The sequence below is a fragment of the Homo sapiens genome, chromosome 2 (genome assembly GCF_000001405.40).
Source record: "Homo sapiens chromosome 2, GRCh38.p14 Primary Assembly".
Classification (NCBI taxonomy): Eukaryota; Metazoa; Chordata; class Mammalia; order Primates; family Hominidae; genus Homo; species Homo sapiens.
In genome coordinates, this window is record NC_000002.12 from 32,409,084 (window position 1) to 32,431,332 (window position 22,249).

The following is a 22,249-nucleotide window of genomic DNA, read 5'->3' on the forward strand; positions in this document are numbered from 1 at the left end:
GTTCTAAGTGATTTTCATCAAATTGGATGATACAATCTGAAGAATTATGAAATATATTTATTTTCTGTTTTTTTTTGTTTTTGTTTTTGTTTTGAGATGGAGTCTCATTCTGTTGCCCAGGCTGGAGTGCAGTGGCACGGATCTTGGCTCACTGCAACCTCTGCCTCCTGGGTTCAAGCAATTCTACTGCCTCAGCCTCCCGAGTAGCTGGGATTACAGGCGCCCACCACCACACCTAATTTTTGTATTTTTTGTAGAGATAGGGCTTCACCATGTTGGCCAGGCTGGTCTTGAACTCCTGACCTCAAGTGATCCACCTCCGTCAGCCTCCCAAAGTGTTGGGATTACAGGTGTGAGCCACTGTGCCCGGCCTATTGAAATATATTTCTTAATTTCAAAAATGTGAGTGCAGATAAAGAGACATTTGTTTTTTAGTTGGAGGTTATGAGGTTTGAAGATATCTAAGAGGACTGCATAGGGAAAAGTTTGGTATTTGAACCACAGATCAGAATTAAGTATACATGGCTTCTTGTGAAGATTGAGAAGAATGTTTGGTAGGAAGTTAAAGAAGGGCTCAAATTGAAATTTGAGTTTTAAAAGAGTGCCTAGATAAAACCTAATTGCTTACCTGAGGAAGTTTGGTTAACACTACCCAAATAAGCAGAATAGAGAAGGGTTTTTAAAATGATTGTCTGAAGAATATTATGCTGGTGCTTGTTTGTAGGTATTTGTGTAAAAATTTATTTTTTGGCCTAGTAGGTTTTAGAAATTCTGAAATAGGTAGAGTTGACAAGTTCTGCAGGGCGTTTGTCAGTCATCAGTGTGCTTTGTCACCCTTCTGAGTAGAATGTATAGTTTATGCTGCTTCCCACATGTTGAATAAATATTTGAGAAGCAGCAAAGTAATAATGCCACTTGTAATATTTTCCTTTTTAATAAAGTCTCACCTCACATACCATTTACTTTGAATATTGACTGAAATTTGTGTTAATATATGTAATTTATGGTTTATTTTGTCATAGTATATACATAGACCAAAATTGTTTTTTCTTGGCAGTTTCCTACATAGATTAGAAAGAAAACATTTAAGTAAATTTGTCAGTTTAGTCCAGTTGGGCATCCTCAGGATTTATTGTGGTATAGTACATGTTATAAAAATATCTCAGTTGATCGCGCCACTGCACTCCAGCCTGGGCAACAGAGTGAGACTCCGTCTAAAACAAAACAAAACAAAAAACAAAACCACCTCAGTCAGCCTTCAATTTCCAATCTGAATTGTAGAGAAAATATACATGAATATTGAATGACAGAAAAAAGGCTGCATGTGACTATAGCCAAATGAGTATTTAAATAAGTGAACAGCTTCATTAATACAATTAAATCATGTTTATACTGAAAATTTTTTTCTGCTGTAGCTAGAAAATATTTCCGTTTTAGGGGGTAGTAGTCATGTTATGTGAAATGACATCATCCCCAGATTATGGGAAATTCTAGATATGCCAGTGAGCATGTAGAAGAGATCATGAATAAAATAGTGTAAAATGGTGTAAACAGAGCTTTGAGTTACCCTAAGTGGTTCTTCATGAATCTCAGTTGCTTATTGCTCTACTTGGGCAACTTCTTTTTTTTTTTTTTGAAATGGAGTCTCGCTCTGTCGCCCAGGCTGGAGTGCAGTGGCGCGATCTCGGCTCACTGCAAGCTCCGCCTCCCGGGTTCACGCCATTCTGCTGCCTCAGCCTCCTGAGTAGCTGGGACTGCCGGTGCCCGCCAGCACGCCCGGCTAAATTTTTGTATTTTTAGTAGAGACGGGGTTTCGCTGTGTTAGCCAGGATGGTCTTGATCTCCTGACCTTGTGATCCACCCTCCTCGGCCTCCCAAAGTGCTGGGATTACAGGCGTGAGCCACCGCGCCCAGCCTATTTGGGCAACTTTCAAACCTTCATGGAGTCACCTTGAGTTCATTTTTTTTCTTTTAAGACGGAGTTTTGCTTTTTTGCACAGGCTGGAGTGCAATGGCGTGATCTTGGCTCACTGCAACCTCTGCCTCCCGGGTTCAAACGATTCTCCTGCTTCACCCTCCCCAGTAGCTGGTATTACAGGCACATGCCACCACGCTTGGCTAATTTTGTATTTTTAGTAGAGACGGGAGTTTCACCATGTTGACCAGTCTGGTCTCGAACTCCTGACCTCAGGTGATCCACCCGCCTCACCCTGCCAAAGTGCTGGGATTACAGGTGTGAGCCTCCACGCCCAGCCTTGAGCACTTTTATATTTATTTCCTTTTCTCTGTTTTTCCAATCTAAATCATTAAGGCAATTATATATATATATATATATTTTATTTTTTTATTTTTTTTTTTTAAATTTTCTATTTTTTGTATTTTCGAAAATCGCCTAGAGTGGTTTTTTCTTTTGAGACGGGATCTCACTCTGTTGTCCAGGCTGGAGTGCAGTGGCGTGATCTCAGCTCAGTGCAACCTCTGCCTCCTGGGTTCAAGCAGTTTCTCTTGCCACAGCCTCCTGAGCAGTGGGACTACAGGCATGTACCACCATGCCTGGCTACTTTTTGTGTTTTTGGTAGAGACGGGGTTTCACCATGTTGGAGAGGCTGTTCTCAAACTCCAGGGCTCAAGTGATCTGGCCTGCCTTGGCCTCCCAAAGTACTGGGATTACAGGTGTGGGCCACCGCGTCTGGCCTAACCTGTAGTGGTCTTTATGGTATTATTGCTAATGATGTTGCTGCCTGACTGAAAGAAGTTTCTGCCATTGAGATAGAGACAGATCAGTGGAAAGAATTTTCAGTTTAGCGTCAAGAGATTATACTTGATTTGGGAGTTGACTGACATCTATTGTAAGACTTTCTTTCCTTTTTTTGTTTTCTGGAAACGGGGTTTTACTGTGTTGCTGAGGCTGGTCTTGAACGGAACTCCTAATCTAAAAGGATCCTTCCACCTCAGCCTCCCAAATAGCTGGGATTACAGGCATGCACCACAACGCCTGGCTTTGTGATTAATATCACAGGTTTAAAGGTTGAGACTGAGAAACTCAGTCCTGTGTTTCAGTATAGAAACTGAGTTCTGAGACTGTACTACTTTTAAGGGAATAGTTTAAAGAAGGCACAATAGAAAAAAGGTCAGCAGGGCATGGTGGCTCATGTCTATAATCCGAGCACTTTGGGAGGCCGAGGTGGGCAGATCACGAGGTCAGGAGTTCGACACTAGCCGGACCAACATGGTGAAAACCCATCTCTACTAAAAATACAAAAATTAGCCAGGCGTGGTGGCAGGTGCCTGTAATCCCAGCTACTCAGGAGGCTGAGGCAGGAGAATCCCTTGAACCTGGGTGGCAGAGGTTGCAATGAGCTGAGATTATGCCATTGCACTCCCGCCTGGGTGGCAATAGTGAGACTTTGTCTCAAAAAAAACAAAAAAAAAGAAAAGAATAAAGGTGAATAAGATGATATAATGTAATGTAGTTGTGTGGCTTTAAATGAAATAAAGATTAGCAGATAATACAGAAGACACTGAATGTTTCACATAAAGATGATACAGTTTTGGAACTTTTTCTTCCTAGTTATTTTTTTTTTTCTAAACTGAGGTTAGAATTGTATTTTCTGACATTCCACTGATAATCAGCAGAGGATGGGGTGAGAGAGAAGAAATGGTGCTTATAACTCCTTCAGAGTGGTGAAAGAAAGGAAACTGAGATTACAATCTTTTTTAATGGATATTTTGCATAGCGCATAAATGACAGATGCATAAGTAGTATTCTCTCTTTGGTTTAGAATTGAAGTGCAGAAATTCTGTTACTTTGATATTAATTTAAAGTTATGTATAAATAATATTTTTTAACTCTTTAATCACATTACTTTTTTGAAAAAAGGTTTTGCTCACAAATTGCCAAGAGAATATATTTTGAATTGAAAAGACTTTTTTTTTTTTTTGGAGACAGTCTCACTCTTGTTGCCCAGACTAGAGAGTACAGTTGCGTGATCTCAGCTCACTGCAACTTCTGTCTCCCAGGTTCAGGTTATTCTAGTGCCTCAGCCTCCCTGAGTAGCTGGGACTACAGGCATGTGCCACCATGCCCGGCTAATTTTTTTTTTTTTTTTTTTTTGAGACATAGTCTCACTCTTGTTGCCCAGGCTGTGGTGCAATGGTGCGGTCTTGGCTCACCACAACCTCCGCCTTCTGGCTTCAAGCGATTTTCCAGCCCCAGCCTCCTGAGTAGCTGGGATTACAGGCATGCACCACCACACCCAGCTAATTTTGCATTTTTAGTAGAAATGGGGTTTCTCCATGTTGGTCAGGCTGGTCTCAAACTCCCGGCCTCAGGTGATCTGCCCGCCTCAGCCTCCCAAAGTGCTGGGATTACAGGCATGAGCCATCGCGCCCAGCCTCTAATTTTTTGTATTTTTAGTAGAGGCGGGGTTTTGCCATGTTACTCAGGCTGGTCTCGAACTCCTGAGCTCAGGTAATCTGCCTACCTCAACCTCCCAAAGTGCTAGGATGACAGATGTGAGCCACCTGCCTGGCCTAAGTTGAAAATAATTTTGAGTCCCTTGAATACCTTTACGGTTTTTCTGAGTAAGCTCATCTTAGATTTGATTATGTCTTAAGAAAAAAAAAAAAAAGAAAAAAAACAGCCTGGTATTTATGGGGGATTGGTTCCAGGACCCTCTCTAGATACCAAAACCTGGATGTGCTCAAGTCCCTTGTATAAAATGGTATAGTTTTGCTTATAACCTATGCACATCTACATTTTCCTGTTACTTTAAATGAACTCTAGATTACTTATAATATCTACTACAATGTAAATACTGAGTAAAAAGTTGTTATGCTCTATTGTTAATTGGCAAAAAAGTTTGTACATGTTGTACATGTTTAGTAGAGATGCAGCCATCCATTTTTAAAAAAAGAAAGTTTTCCGGCTGGGCACGGTGGCTCATGCCTGTAATCCCAGCACTTTGAGAGGCCGAGGCGGGTGGATTACCTGAGGTCGGGAGTTTGAGACCAGCCTGACCAACATGGAGAAACCATGTCTCTACTGAAAATACAAAATTAGCTGGGTATGGTGGCACAGCTATTCTTGCGGCTGAGGCAGGAGAATTGCTTGAACCTGGGAGGCGGAGGTTTTGGTGAGCTGAGATCACACCATTGCACTCCAGCCTAGGCAACAAGAGCAAAACTCCATCTCCAGAAAATAAATAAGTAAATAAAAAATGTTTTCCATCTGCAGTTAGTTGAATCCGTGGATGTAGAACCTGTGAATATGGAGGGCTGACTGCACTTTAAATTTTTTTAGGCCAGGCGTGGTGGCTCACGCCTGTAATCCCAGCACTTTGGGAGGCTGAGGTGGGTGGATCACCTGAGGTCAGGAGTTTGAGACCATCCTGGACAACATGGTGAAACCCAGGCTCTACTAAAAATAGAAAAATTAGCTGGGTGTGGTGGCGTGAGCTTGTAATCCCAGCTACTTGGGAGGCTGAGGCACTAGAATCACTTGAACCTGGGATTCAGAGGTTGTGGTGAGCCGAAATTGCACCACTGCACTCTAGCCTGTGTGACAGAGCAAGAATTTGTCTCAAAAATAAATAAATAAATAAATAAATAATTTTACTTGTGTATTCATAATGTGCTGACTGGATGAGTAGAAACATATCTAATGAATATTGTTCCTTTTTAAAGGGCATACATCACAGAAGGAAGCCATGGAAGTAAGCCTTGATATAACAGCACTCAGCATTCTCCAACAGCCAGAAAAACTTCAGTGGGAGATTGTTGCAAATGTGCTTGAAGATACTGTTAAGGATCTTGAAGAACTTGGGGCAAATCCTTGTTTAACAAACTCTAAGAGTGAAAAGACAAAGGAAAAGCACCAGGAGCAACACAACATTCCTTTTCCATGTTTATTAGCTGGAGGTTTATTAACATATAAATCTCCTGCTACCTCACCCATTAGTAGTAATTCTCACAGGTCACTGGATGGTTTAAGCAGAACTCAGGGTGAAAGTATATCAGAACAAGGGTCAACTGACAATGAATCCTGCACTAATTCAGAACTAAATTCTCCTCTGGTAAGGAGGACTTTACCGGTTTTGCTTCTTTATAGCATCAAGGAATCTGATGAGAAAGCAGGAAAGATCTTTTCACAGATGAACAATATTATGAGTAAAAGTTTGCATGATGATGGTTTTACTGTTCCACAGATTATTGAAATGGAGCTGGATAGTCAGGAGCAGTTGTTATTGCAGGATCCTCCTGTGACTTACATTCAGCAATTTGCAGATGCAGCAGCCAACCTTACCTCTCCGGATTCTGAGAAGTGGAACTCTGTGTTTCCCAAGCCTGGGACTTTGGTTCAGTGCTTGAGGCTGCCAAAGTTTGCAGAGGAGGAGAATCTTTGTATAGACTCAATAACTCCTTGTGCTGACGGAATTCATTTGTTGGTAGGACTGCGGACATGCCCTGTTGAATCCTTGAGTGCAATAAATCAAGTAGAGGCCTTGAATAATTTAAATAAATTAAACTCTGCACTATGTAATAGACGGAAAGGTGAGCTGGAATCAAATCTTGCTGTAGTGAATGGTGCAAATATTAGTGTAATCCAACATGAATCACCAGCAGATGTACAGACTCCTTTAATAATTCAGCCTGAGCAGAGGAATGTTAGTGGTGGATATTTAGTGCTTTATAAAATGAATTATGCCACTCGGATAGTGACTTTAGAAGAGGAGCCAATAAAAATACAACATATCAAAGATCCCCAGGACACAATTACCTCGCTCATTTTGCTTCCACCCGATATATTGGATAATCGAGAGGATGACTGTGAGGAACCTATTGAGGACATGCAGTTAACCTCAAAGAATGGTTTTGAGAGAGAAAAAACGTCTGACATTTCTACTCTTGGACACCTGGTAATAACCACTCAGGGAGGATATGTAAAAATACTAGATCTTTCAAACTTTGAAATTTTGGCCAAAGTGGAGCCTCCCAAAAAGGAGGGCACTGAGGAACAGGACACATTTGTTTCTGTGATTTACTGTTCTGGCACAGACAGGCTGTGTGCATGCACCAAAGGTAAGTTGTCTGATTATGCTATAAATCTTATAAAATCCATGTATATATGGCATTTGTTTATGTGCAAACCTAGTATGAATTTTAGGTTCAAATAGATGGGGAGGAATTAATTTTTTTGTAATGAAGTGGTAAATCCTTCTTTTTAAACTGTTCTTAAAACTTTTTTCTACTGCCCTAGGTAAGGATTCTAACTGTAAATAAGTTAGTAAGTCACTTAGCAAGTATCTTCTGCTTTAACCTCAAGAAAATCACGTGCTTTTATTTCAGTGAGTCCCTGACTCTGCATCTGCTCAAATTTATGACCTTGGGCAAGTTATGTTAAATTCATTAAACCTGTTTTTATTTATTTATAAACTAGGATAAGAAAGTCCATTTCCTAGGCTTATTAGAATGAAATTATGTAAAGTTTCTGGCACAGTTATTGGTCCTTATTTCCTTCTGAAATAAAAATACTTAGCAAACAATTTTTAGTTTTGCTAAATACATTTTTTTGTCTGATTTATTCCTGATCTTTGGCTAGTAGTGAATTAGTTTTGCAAATTTTGAAGCACTATATAGATTAAGATAGTGTGCAGTTATTTTTTCTTTTTTTCTCCTTTCTTTTCCTTTTCCTTTCCCCTTTCCCCCTTTCTTTCCCCCCTCCCCTTTCTTTCCCCGTCCTCTCCCCTCCTTTCTTTTCCTTTTATTTTTGAGAGGAAGTTTCATTCTTGTTGCCCAAGCTGAAGTGCAGTGGCCCAATCTCAGCTCACTGCAACATCCGCTCCCAGGTTCAAGCAATTCTCCTGCCTCAGCCTCCCAAGTAGCTGGGATTACAGGCACGTGGCACCATGCCCGGCTAATTTTTTGTATGTTTAGTAGAGACAGGGTTTCACCATGTTACCCAGGCTGGTCTTGAACTCCTGACCTCAGGTGATCCACCCACCTCAGCCTCCCAAAGTTCTGGGATTACAGGCATGAGCCACCATGCCAGGCCTTTTCTTTTCTTTCTCAGGGTCTCACTGTGTTGCCCAGGCTGGAGTGCAGTGGCATGATCTCAGCTCACTGCAGCCTCAACCTCCTGGGTGCAAGTAGTCCTCTCGCCTTGGTCTCCTGAATAGCTGGGACTACAGTGCATAGCTGGGACTACGCACTACCATGTTCAGCTAATTGTTGTATTTTTTTGTAGAAATGGGATTTCGCCATGTTGCTCAGGCTGGTCTCAAACTCCTGAGTTCAAGTGATCTGCCTGCCCCGGCCTCCCAAAGTGCTGGGATTACAGGCGTGTGGCATTGTGCCTGGCCTATTTTTTTTACTTATATACATTTTAAGTTAGGGAGATAAAGCAGTTTTTGAAAAGGATTACTGACAATATCAGGCAAAATGAATAGTTCTATTGATTGTCTAGCAGGAATTTAGGACTAGGAGATAGTTGAAGCCTAAGTGACTGTAACTAAGGCATGGCAGAGGAATTAGGATCTGAGCAGAGTTACGCATGCATCTCATCTGTGGTTCTGATAGTAATTAGACTGTTTTTCCTCTCTTTAAATAGATTTCAAGAGTTTAGCCAAGGAACGTAATGGTGAAATGTAGTGGTTAGATTGCCTTTTTTGAACTATATGTAGTGAAATTATTTTTTTATTTTTATTTTTTGTTTTTGAGACAGAGTCTCACCCTGTCAACAGGCTGGGGTGCAGTTACGCAATCTTGGCTCACTGCAACTTCTGCCTCCCAGGTTCAAGTGATTCTCCGGCCTTAGCCTCCTGAGTAGCTGGGACCACAGGTGCGCGTCACCACACTTGGCTAATTTTTGTATTTTTAGTAGTGACGAGGTTTCACTATGTTGGCTAGTCTGGTCTCGAACTGCTGACCTCGAGCGATCCGTCTGCCTTGGCCTCCCAAAGTGTTGGGATTATAGGCATGATCCACTGTACCCAGTGAAATTTCTGTAATTTCTAGTGAAAGTATAATGGAAAAAAATCTTTAAATATCATAAAAATCCAACTAGATTAATTTAGAAAATGAGCAGTGTAGTCTAGTAACTTTAGACTAATGAAACTTGGAATTACAGTTGAGAATTTCAGAACAACCATTAAAATTCTGTGTGGTATCAGAGATAATTTGAATTTATTGGTCATATATGTGCCAGTTCATTGTTGTAAGAACTTTACCTGTGTTCGTTTAGTCATCACACCAACTTTAATATACTATTATTGTCTCCGTTTTGTACATAATGATACTGAAGGAAAGAAAGGTTAAGTAACTTATTAAGTAATAGAGCTAATAAATGTCAGAGCCAGCATTCAAACCTGGGAGTCTTCCATCAGAGCACTTTAAATGGCATTATACTGCCATAATACAACAAAAGATGAAGAATCTTACACTGAATTCTTTGCATTCTTTTAATCTGAAAGATTTAAAAATTGACAATTATTTAACTTGCTGTAGGTCATCTAAAATGGAGCTGGACTTGGAACCTAGGTGACATGGCACCCCGGTGCACATCTTTATAAGAAACTACTATTTTCCAGAAATGCAATAAGGGTTTTTAATGCTTTCAATTATTTGATGAGCTATGCTTTAGGTAACTCAGAAGAGAAATAGTATTTACACCTTAAATATTTAAGTTATTAAGTTTTTTAGCATTTAAATAAAAGTATTGGCCAGGTGTGGTGGTGCATACCTGTAATCCCAGCTACTTGGGAGGCTGAGACAGGAGAATCACTTGAACCCAGGAGGAGAAGGTTGCAGTGAGCTGAGATCGCGTCACTTCACTCCAGCCTAGGCTACCGAGCAAGATTCCATCTCAAACAAAACAAACAAACAAAAAAGTATTTAAAATAGATGGTGGTTTTCTTGGAGTTGGTACAGTCCGGAATTCCTAGAACATGATCTCATGTGATAGGGAATTTATCCAGATGATGAAAGATAAGAAAAACCTGAGAAGTTAGTTGCTTTCAAAATGAGCTCCTAATTCTTCAGGGATTGACTGATGAAGGTGCATTTGAAAAGATAATAACAAAGCGGAAAGAAAAGTTGATGCCTTAAAATGTATGTACATGTATGATTTTTAAAAAGCATCTCAGACTGAATCAAATGGATGTGACCCTGTCTTCTGAGTATATTCAAATAACATAAAACTATTTTTCTTGTGGAGAATCAAGTCTTTTCATAAAAATAAATCTATAGTTAATATATGTTTTAAGTTAATTTTATATAGGATTAATAATATACTAAATGTAGATTTGTTAAGCTATCTTTGATAATTCAGGAATAGAATATATACACACTACATATAAAATTTTGTAAAAGGCATAAAATAAAAAAGTATGAATTTCAAAAATTGAGAGTTTAAAGTGAAAGATAAATTGGTATTCTGCTTGGTGCAAATACATTTAAAATCAACAGGAAAGACTTAAATGAGAAAGAAGACTAAGATGTATCAGTGGAGTATAAGATAGGGTGCAGTTATGATACTTGACAAAAAATGCTTAAAAAATAAAGTTTTTTAAAAGGCCGCAATTAATAGGGAACATATCATGAAATATAACAATACTGAATATAAATATGACCCCAACAACATAAAGCCTATATACCTGTACTGATATTCAGAAGGAGGATAATAAGTTGAGCCATAATTGCTTTGAAAGTCTTTAATAATCTCACTATCTGGGATTATTGGACTGTATGGTCACATCCTTGTTTTGGTACTTGTTTCTTGTGGAAAACATTCCTTTAGTCTTCTGTTCCTGCTTTGCTAAGAGTTTCCAATAGGAATGAACGTCATATTTTGTCAAATACTTGTTTACATCCATGGAGATCATTTGGTTGTTCTTTTTAGTTCAGTATGGTAAAATATATTGATTGACTTTTGGATATCAAATCAACTTTGCGTTCCTGGGATAAAACCCATTTGGTCATAATGCATTACCTTATATATTGTTGGATACAGTTTGCTAAAATTTTGTTCATAGTTTTTGCATATCGTTCATCAGGGATATTATATGTTCCTTGTAATCTTTCTTTTTTAGTTTTTGCTTTTTGTAATCTTTATCTGGTTTTGATATCAGTGTAATGCTTGCCTGATAGAATGAGTTGGGAAGTATTCGCTCTTCAATTTTGTGGTAAAGTTTGTGTATAATTGGTCTTATTTTTCCTTATATATTTGGTAGAATTCGCCAGTGAAGCTCTTTGGGCCCAGAGATTTTTTTTAGTGGGAAGATTTTGAATATACACATTCAATTATGTTTATAGAGACTTCCTAAGGTTTTTTATTTTTTATTTTTTAGTGAGTTCTGACAGTCTTTTTGTCAGTTTTTAAGTTATGAAGTTTTAGCGTAAAGAATTTCATAATATTCCCCACAATCATTTTATTTACTTTTTATTTTTTTTGAGACAGAGTCTTGCTTTGTCACCCAGGCTGGAGTGCAGTGGTGCAGTTTTGGCTCACTGCAACCTCTGCCTCCTGGGTTCAAGTGATTCTGTCACCTCAGCCTCCCGAGTAGCTGGGACTACAGGTACACCACCATGCCTGGTTAATTTTTGTATTTTTAGTAGAGATGAGGTTTTACTCTGTTGGCTAGGCTGGTCTTGAACTCCTGACCTCAAGTGATTCACCTGCATTGGCCTCCTAAAGTGCTGGGATTACAGGTGTGAGCTACCATGCCTGGCTCCTTACATTCCTTTTAATATTTGTAGACTCTTTAGGGATGTCACCACTCTCATTTGTGATACTGATCGATGATTTGTATTTTTTTTTTCCTGCTTCATCTGTCTAGAGGTTTATCTGTTTTATTGATTTTTTTTTTTTTTTTCAGAACAACCAGCTTCTGATTTAAATGACATTTTTTTCTTTGTTATTTTTCTGTTTTCCCATTTACTGGATTTCCATTTTATTGTTATTATTTCCTCCCCTCTGCTTGATTTGGGTTTATTTTGCTCTTCTCTAGTTTCTTTCTTTCTTTCTTTCTTTCTTTTTTTTTTTTTTTGACACAGAGTTTCACTGTCGCCAGGCTGGACTGCAGTGGCTCGATCTTGGCTAACTGCAACCTCTGCCTCCCAGGTTCAAGTGATTCTCCTGCCTCAGCCTCCCGAGTAGCTGGGACTACAGGCCCGAGCCACCACGCCCAGCTAATTTTTGTATTTTTAGAAGAGACAGGGTCTCACCACGTTGGCCAGGATGATACTGATCTCTTGACCTCGTGATCTGCCCGCCTTGACCTCCCAAAGTGCTGGGATTACAGGCATGAGCCACCGCGCTGGCCTTCTTTAGTTTCTTAAAGTAGAAGCTTATTGGTTTGAGATGTTTTCTAATATAGGAAATTTAAAGCCATAAATATTTTTGGAAGCACTGTCTTAGTGATACCTCCTAAATTTTGATACATTGTGTTTTTCCTTTTTTTCATTTGGATCAAAATATGTTCTAATTTCCCTTGTGATTTCTTGTTTGGCCCAGAGATTATTTAAAAGTGTTTTGTTTAGCCTCCAAATACTTGAGGTTTCTCTAGATTTCTTTCTGTTCTGGATCTCAAACTTATTTCCATTGCTGTCAGAGAATATAATTTATATGAAGTCAGTATTTTGAAATTTATTGAGACTTTTTCATGACCCAGCATCTGGTCTGTCCTGGAGAATGTTCTGTGTGCACTTGAAAAGAATTTGTGTTGGGCACCCATGGGGTAGAGTGTCGTATAAATTTCACTTGTATACGTGTATGTTTTTTAGTTGTTGAAGTCTTCCTGATTTTATATTGAGCCTTCTTCTATCAATTTTGAGAGCAAGTATTGAAATCCCTAACTATGTTTTTGTTGAATTGTTCACTTTTAAGTCTGTTTTTGCTTCACTTGACTTTTGGCTCTTTTGTTAGACTGTTTCATAATTGTTACATCGTTCTGATGTATTGGTTCTTTTGTCATTATGAAATATTCCTCTGTCTCTATTTTGTGTCATACTAATAAAATCACTCTGGTTTTCTTATGGTTACAGTTTGTATTATGTATCTTTTCCACAATTTTACTTTCAACTAACTTGTGATTTTGAATCTGAAGTGGGTCTCTTAGATGCATATAATTAGGTCTTGCTTTTTTATACAGTTGGATAACCTGTACCTTTTAAATTTGAATGACTTTACGCTTAAGGTAATTATTGCTATGGTTGCATTTATGTCTGCCATTTTGAGTTTTTAAAATGTTCTTTACATTCCTTTGTTACTCCTTCACTGCATTCTTTTGTGTTGAATAAATATTTTTAGTGTGCCATTTTAATCCCTCTGTTGATTTTTTTTTTAGAAGAAAATTTACATAACATTAGTGAAGAATAATTTGTTAGGGACACCCAGAGACCTACTGTCAAACCAAGAACTAAAGCAGTATGGATATCTTGCATCTATGAATGTGTCCCTCCTCCCCTCTCCCAAACTCTGCCCTTTTCCTACAGATAATTGTTACTCAATAATTTTTATGTCTTTCCTTTTATAAAGAAAACTGGTTTTATGCTTTGGATGTGAATATTTCAACATATTTTATTGATTTTGCTTGTTTTTGCCCTTTATAAGAATGATACCAAACTCTAACTAGTTTTGGGGGACTTGATTTTCCTCTCTTACTATGTTTTAAGATTACCCATTTTGTTGCATGCCTTGTAGATCATTTAATTTTCACTTATACTTAGTACTCCAATGTGCAAAAAACCCACAAATAATTTATGCATTTTCCTGTCAGTGGACATCTTGTTTATTTCTGTTTTTTTCTGCTATAAACGTCTTGTGTAAGTTCCTTGGTGCACATATGTAAGGGGCTCTCTATTTTTTTATTTTTGAGGCAGAGTCTTGCTCTGTTGCCAAGGCTGGAGTGCAGTGGTGCCGATCTCAGCTCACTGCAGCCTCCACCTCCTGGGTTCAAGTGATTCTCCTGCCTCAGCCTCCCAAGGTTAGCTGGGATTACAGGCGTCTGGCTAATTTTTGTATTTTTACAAAACAGTTGGGGTTTCCCCATATTGGCCAGGCTGGTCTCTAACTCCTGACCTTAAGTGCTCCGCCCGCCTTGGCCTCCCAAAGTGATGGGATTACAGGCGTGACCCACTGTTCCCGGCCTGAGACTCTCAGTTCTTAAGAGTAGAATTATTGGGTCATGGGTTATAATTTTTTTTTTCTTTTTAAAATGTGTTAAATATATATAATGAGGTTTACTATTTTAACTGTTTTACAGCATGTAATGTAGTGGCTGTAATACATTCACAATGTTGTATAACCACCAGTACTGATTTCCAGAACTTTCCCATCATCCTAAACAAAAACTCTGTAACCATTAAGCAGTAACTTCCCATTCATTCTACCCTCCGCTGCTGGTAACCTCAATTCTACTTCTGTATGACTTTGCTTATTGTAGATACCTCATATAAGTGGAATCATGTATTTGTCCTTTTGTGTCTGGTTTCTTTCACTCAGCATATTTTTTATGTTTTTAATGCTCACCCATGTATCACATCTTGGTTCCTTTTTATGCCAAATAATATTCCATTACAGTAGGGCCCATCCACCCCCCCAATCCCTGCCCCTTATCTGTGGTTTCAGTTATCTGTGGTCAGCTTTGGTCTGGAAATATTAAATGGAAAATTTCAGAAATCAACAATTGATAATTATTAAATTACTCACCATTCTGAGTAGTGTGATAAAAATCTCTTCTTGTCCCATCCAGGACACAAATCATCATTTTGTCCAGCATCTCCATGCTGTATACACTACCTGTCTGTTAGTCACTTAGTAGCTGTCTTGGTTATCAGATTGTCTGTCACTGGTATCGCAGTGCTTGTGTTCAAGTAACCATTTTACTTAATAATGGCCCTAAAGTTCAAGAATGGTAATGCTAGCTATGGGATATGCCAAAGTGAAGCCGTTTTGAAGTTTTTTCTTTATGTTGAAAAGGCGAAATTTTTGACTTGGAAAGAAAAATATTTTATGTGCAGATTTCTAAGATTTATGGTAAGAACAAATCTTCTGTTTGTGAAATTGTGAACAGTATATTGCTATCATTGTGCTATTTTGTTGTTGTTCATCTCTTCCTGTGCCTAATTTATAAATTAAATTTATCATATGTGTGTGTGTATATATATGAATATATATATATGAAAAAACAATATATATACATATTGGGTTTGATACTATCCACAGTTTCAGTCATCACTGCGAGGTCTTGGAACTGTGACTACTGTAAGGGGTGACTATTGTAACTCAGCATTTGGGTTGTTTCCACATTTTGGCTATTGTGAATAATGTCCCTATAAACATTGGTGTACAAATATTTGAGTACCCGTTTTCAGTTGTTTTGGGTATATACCTAGGAGTGGAATTGTTGGGTCACATGGTAATTCTATGTTCAACCCTTTTTTTTTTTTTGAGATGGAGTTTCACGCTTGTTGCCCAGGCTGGAGTGCACTGACGCGATCTCGGCTCACTGCAACCTTTGCCTCCCCGGCTCTAGTGAGTCTCCTGCCTCAGCCTCCCAAGTAGCTGGGATTAGGCACGCACCACCACGCCCAGCTATTTTTTGTATTTTTAGTAGAGACACTATTTCGCCATGTTGACCATGCTGGTCTCCAACTCCTGACCTCAGGTGATCCTCCCACCTCGCCCACCCAACGTGCTGGGATTACAGGTGTGAGCCACCGCGTCTGGCCTATGTTTAACCTTTTGAGAATCACCAAGTTATTTTCCACAGAGTCTGCACCATTTTGCATTTCCACAAGCAGTTTGGAAGGGTCCCAGTTTTTCTACATCCTGGCCAACATTTGTTATTTTTGGTCTTTTTGACAACTAGTGGTTGTGAAGTGGTATCTGTTGTGGTTTTGGTTTGCACTTTCCTAATGATTAGTGATGTTGAGCATTTCTTCATGTGTTTATTGGTGATTTGTATTTCTATAATAGACGTAGAAATATCTATTCATGTCCTTGTCCACTTTTGAATTTTTTTTTTTTTGATTGAGTTGTAGGAACATTTTTAGAAATTCAGGATTCATATCTTAATAGATATGATTTGCAAATACTTACTTTCTCATATTCTGTGGGTTGTCTTTTTACTTTCTTGGTAGTGTCCTTTGATGCACAAAACATTGGCATTTTGAAAAAGTCCAGTTTATCTTTTTGTTGATAATCTTACATTCATACATCATTTTCCTGTTTTTCTTTAGTTTTTGTCCATTGTTCCCTTTAGCTAATTGGCTATATAAAGAGAATTCATTTAACGTTTTTGACTAATAATTCCAATATCTGGGCTTTCTCAGGTATGCTTTCTGGTAATTCTTTTTTTTTTTTTTTCTCCTGTAAATGGGCCATACTTTGCTGTTTCTTTGAGTGCTTTGTAATTTTTTGTTGTAGTCAGAACTTTCTGAGTATTGTAATGTGGTACCTCTAGAAATCTTATTCTCTCACTCTGGGAGATTTTGCTTGTTTCCAGCTGCAGCCATCCATTTGTGACATTTTCAAACTATTTGTACAAAGGCTAGAGAACCCTCTCCCCACTCTTATCCTTCCAAAAAAGAGTTCTATCTCTTTAAATCTTCCTGTAGATCCTGTTTCGGCTTTGTCCCCTTAAATCTTCTGGTGGCTGCTGCTTGGAGTAGCAGCTGCAGTCTCAGAAGGGTGAAACCCAGGCAAGAGTCTATTCTGGTCCCTTAGGGAACTGCTAGACCAACCAAAATGCACAACCCTATATATTGGGAAGAGAAGGTCCCTCCTGTCCGCCCTGGCACCAGCCAGCTGCTTCCAGCACATGTGCCACTTTCCCCCACAGCTGTGTCAGGGCTGAGTATGGAGGGGTAGCTGGTTCATTTAGGCCACCCTCTTACCAGAAATCAGTCTCCTCTGTTTATTGTAGATATCCTGTTAGGTCCCATAGTTCTGAAATAGTTGATTCCAATCATACTTTCTAGTTGAGTGGTTGCTTTGGTGGAGGGACTGATCCCTAGAGCTTCCTACTCTGCCATTTGGCATGAAATCACTGGTCCCCGTGTTGATTCTGGTTTCTTTTTCTGATACTACTTTTTTTTGAGTTATATTTTGGTGGTTTAATTAATAATACAATCTACTTCAGAATAATACTTTATTCTAGTAAAATATGTAGGAACTTTGCTCTTGTCTCTCCCCACCCCATACATTACATTTAAGTATGTTATAAACCCAACAGAATGGCCGGGTGTGGTGGCTTACGCCTGTAATCCCAGCACTTTGGGAGGTCAAGGCGGGCAGATCACCTAAGGTCAGGAGTTCAAGACCAGCCTGGCCAACATGGCAAAACCCTGTCTCTACTAAAAATACAAAAATTAGCCGGGTGTGGTGGTGGGCACCTGTAATCCCAACTACTCAGGAGGCTGAGGCAGGGAGAATCACTTGAACCCAGGAGGCGGAGGTTGCAGTGAGCTGAGATCACACCATTGTACTCCAGCCTGGGCAACAGAGCGAGACTCCGTCTCAAAACAAAAAACAAACAAAACCCAACAAAACATGTTACAATTATTTTATACAACCATTATCTTTTTAAAAAGTTGGCAAAGAAATGAGAAAAACATTTATTTATTATATTCACCTACTTACCATTTCTGTTCTTTATTTTTTCAGTGAATTTGATGTTGCTTTCCTTCCTCTTAAAGGGGCTTTCTTTGGGGCTTTCTTTGTTACTTATCATAAGGCAGGTTGCTAGCATAAAGTTCTCTCAGTCTTTGTTTTTCTGGAAATGTGTTCATCTCACATTCATTTTTGAGGATTAATGCTACATAGAGAATCTGTTGACAGTTTCTTTCTGTACTTTAAATGTCATTCCATTGCCTCTGGTCTCCATTGTTTCTCATAGTGATCTGTTAATTTGTGCTGTTGTTTTCATGTCTGATGAATAATTTTTATCTTGCTGTCTTCATGATGTTCCCTTTGCCTTTGACTCTCAAGAGCTTATATATATATGTGTTATTTCTTTGTGTTTATCCTATTTGAGGGTCATTGAACTTGAGTGAATTTGTGGTTTTCTATCAGATTTGGTAAGTTTTTGCCCATTATTTTTTCAGGTGGAATTCTCTTCTTCATGGAATTCCCATTACATGTATGTTCTTAATATTTTATCTGTCCTGTAGGTCTCCAAGCTTCTTTTAATTTTTATTTTATTTTATTTTTTTTTTGAGACAAAGTCTTGCTCTTGTCGCCCAGGCTGGAGTGCAGTGGCGCTATCTCAGCTCACTGCAACCTCTGCCTCCCGGGTTCAAGCGATTCTCCTTCCTCAGCCTCCTGAGTAGCTCAGGGGATTACAGGCGCCTGCCACCACGCCTGTCTAATTTTTGTATTTTTAGTAGAGATGGGGTTTCACCATGTTGGCCAGGCTGGTATCGAACTCCTGACCTCAGGTGATCCGCCCGCCTCCGTCTCCCAAGGTGCTGGGATAACAGGCGTGAGCCACTGCTCCTGGCCTTTAATTTTTTTAAAAATATTTTTGTTTGTTGAGTCGTTTATACCATTATTTCCTGTAATCTCTATACCCCTGGTTTCCTCTTATTCTATAAAAATATTTACAATAGATCCTTGAATTCTTTGCTAAATCTGAAGTCCGAGAAGACATTTTCAGGTGTGTGTGTGTGTGTGTGTTTTACATCTTGAATGTGGGTCCCTCTTTCTTTGCATGTCTTGTAATGTTTTATTTATTTACTGGACATTTAAAACAACACTATAGCAATCTGGATTCGTATCTCCCTACCTTTTGCCAGGTGGTTGTTGCTTTGTTTGTTTTGTGAAAACAAACAAACTGTTGAATCTGTGAAATCTGAATCTGTAAAATCTCTTCTGTATTGTGCAGCTGCTGATTTCTGTCATTTATTCTGCCTAGTTTTAATTTTTAAGACTTGTTTCTTATTTTGTTTCTTTTGGGGCAGCAGAGCTTAGTATTCAGCCAAAGATTGATAGGTTTGGTGTCCAAATACCTTTAGCCAGTAAGGCTGTGCTCAAGTGTGCCCTGGCTTTTATTTTCTGTTGTGCTTTCTCAGGTCTCTTTTGCATAGGCATAGAGGCTTAGTTGACTGAGGATGTAATAATGGCTTCGGCTCCCTCTGGTCTTTGCTGGACACGTGCACAGCCTCTGATCAAGGTGGGATTTGTGGAGAGTTTACCAGGCCCCCTGTGCTTCTCTCACTACATGTAATTCTGTGTTAAATCCCTGGTGTTTCCAGTGCTTTGCTTGCCCCACACAGAATTGTGACCTCAAGTAGCAGATCTCCTTGTTTGTTTCCCATTGAAATCACCTGTTTAAACTGGACGCTCTCCATCAATCAAGTCCCATCTGGAGATAGCAGTGAATGTGCTGGTTTTCACTGCTTACCTCACCCTCGTTAAATTACAGTTTTGTCTAGCTTTATAGTTGCCTTTCAGGAAGGGGATTTATCATCTTCCTTCTTCTGCTATGCTGGAAGTGAATCTCCAAATTAGAATGTTAGAATATACTATTACCCATTAATTTTTTTGTCTTAATTAAAGCTAAATTTGCTGTCAGTTTTTTTCCTGTGACAGAGATTTTAAACTAGAAATTTGAGTTGCCTTCATTTCATTGTGAATGCTTTAAAAAATAAGAGTATTTGTTAAGTTTTGTTATTGTTGAGATTAAGAGATCTGGCTGTGGATTCCAGTATAGCTAGTGCCTCATCTGTAAAATGGCCACAGTAATAGTTCTACCACAAGGGTTTTTGGTAAAAAGTAAATGAATTAATTAAAGCACTTAAAATACTGTCTCATAAAAGTAAATACTAGATAAATACCTGTTTTCATGTATGTTTATGTATTTATCATTTTCTTCATAAAAATTTGGTTTCAATTTGTAATTCCTTGGCAATTAAATTTCTAAACTCTTGGAAATACATCACATTGGTAGCTTTCCTTATCTGCCTATGAAGTGACATTCAGTTGTTTCCTAAGTAGTATTACATTTGAATATTTGAATGTTTACCTATTTTTCATGTATCTATGAAATTTACTACACTGTAGGTGGTGAGCTTCATTTTCTCCAAATTGGAGGAACCTGTGATGATATTGATGAAGCTGATATACTAGTGGATGGATCTCTTTCTAAAGGAATAGAACCATCTTCAGAAGGTTCCAAACCTTTATCAAATCCTTCAAGTCCTGGCATTTCAGGTATGATATTAAATTTTTAAATGATTTTAAAAAAAGAATAGGTAGTATTTATCATTTTTCTAGTTGTTGGAAGATGTAAACATATTAAAGTAAGAAGTGATTCTCAACCTGTATGGTATGTTACTCAATATTTGTGAAGTCATCTAAGAGGTTAAAACAAACATTTCAGCCATTAATGAGCTTTTAGTCTAATTAGAGGAGGGAAAAATCATATAAAAGAGAATTCATTAAGTAAGAATAAAATTAGTAGACTGGCTCATATTATTAATATTACTACTGGAATTGAAAAGGTGAAAAAAAAATACTGTCACTGAGGATATATTTAGGTGGTATATTCACACATACGTTGCCCCATCCTGAATCTCTCGATAGGTTTGTTTATATTTGTTTGTTGTTTTTGCCTTTTTTCTCCCATCCTTGACCCACATTGCCCTCCAGAGCTAATTTTTCAAAAGAAGTTTTGCTAGCATGCTACTCCCTGCCAAAAAATCATTATTTGCCTTGTAGACTTTTATGAAATCATAGTAGCCTGCTTCTCAATCTCCAGTTACTTGAGTTAACCAAGGTGTCTTGGTTAAGTATACAACTTGGTATAAAAAGCTAAAATACTGAATATTCTCATATTTTATAGGTTATTGGTTGAATGGAGAAGATTTTTTATAAAGTACAGAAAAATGCTTTTTAGTAGAGGAAAGATGAATTTTGTAATGAAGAAATAAATAATGGAAAGAAAGAAGATTGACATGCTGTTAATATTTACAAACTAAGCAGATTTAAAAGGGTCTAGACTTTGAGAAAAAGATGTAATTTGAATTAAACTTGTAATAATTTTATAGAACTTGCTGTCATTTTTTTATTGTGAAAATACTCTAAACCTACCAGATTTTATATTTTAGTATTTTATTAATTTTTTAAAATGGGAACAATGGCTTAGCATTTTTTAATGTTATACATTTCACTGATGTGAATACATGTATAGCATTTGTAAAGAAGCCTAATTAGTATGAAGCACGTTATTACTCTTATAATACTAGCATGTATGCAAGATTTTCTTAACTGCCACAGAAATAGAAAAAACAATTTAATTTTTCAGTTTGTAAGTATTTCTTTACCACATAGCTTTTGACTGTTTTAGTGTTTTATTCATATGTTATGTACTTGCTTGATGTCTAGCATTTTATTTTTTAAAAAATAGGGTCTAAAAGTTAATTATTGGTCTGATGTACATTGGCTTGCACTTTAGTACCACTGCTTTTCTTGCCATCCTTATTAGGGCTAAAGTTCAGTAAGCCCTTTTCTAACAGGTTGGGTTTGGGTTTCTTCAATAGCGAGTATTGTCTCTAATTTTAAATATTTAAGTTAGAATTTTCTTCTTTGCTATTTTTTAGCCAGAGTTAGTTATCTTAGTTATATATAGATACCTGAGCCCACTTTATTAACTTTCAGAATATTTGGCAAGTGTTGCAATAGAAAACCTACCCATGAATTAAAACTTCACTTCATTGTCTTCTTTTTTTTTTTTTTTTTTTTTCCACACCTATTTCAAATACTGCTCTCACTAATGTTAAGGAGTTGATTTATTGGTGGACCAGCCATTCACCCTTGAAATCTTGACATCCCTAGTGGAGCTAACCCGCTTTGAGACTTTGACTCCAAGGTTTTCAGCGACTGTTCCTCCATGCTGGGTAGAAGTTCAACAAGAACAGCAGCAAAGGAGGCATCCTCAACATTTGCATCAGCAACACCATGGTGATGCTGCTCAGCATACTCGAACTTGGAAACTACAGACCGACAGGTAAAAGATATTCCCAAGATAATTAATTTTAAGTCCATCTTGTGTATTTGTCAGAGACAACGTAGAATTCCTAGGTATATTACTGTTTATCTTTTTTTTTTTTTTTTTTTTTTTTTTTTTTTTGAGACAGAGTCTCACTCTGTCACCCAGGCTGGAGTGCAGTGGCGCAATCTCGGCTCACTGCAACCACTGCCTCCTGGGTTCAAGTGATTCTCCTGCCTCAGCCTCTCAAGTAGCTGGGA

General features: G+C 38.1%; 1 protein-coding gene across 50 annotated transcripts in view; it reads left to right on the top strand.

The window, feature by feature from the left end:
* BIRC6 (baculoviral IAP repeat containing 6) overlaps positions 1–22,249 on the top strand; it is a 261,856-nt gene that overhangs the window by 52,061 nt on the left and 187,546 nt on the right. For all 50 annotated transcript variants that reach the window (XM_006712055.4, XM_005264451.5, XM_047445167.1 and 47 more), the window contains exons 10-12: positions 5,686–7,080; positions 20,063–20,212; positions 21,782–22,007. In XM_006712055.4, the coding sequence (XP_006712118.1) occupies positions 5,686–7,080; positions 20,063–20,212; positions 21,782–22,007 (1,771 nt within the window). The remainder of the gene's footprint in view (positions 1–5,685; positions 7,081–20,062; positions 20,213–21,781; positions 22,008–22,249) is intronic.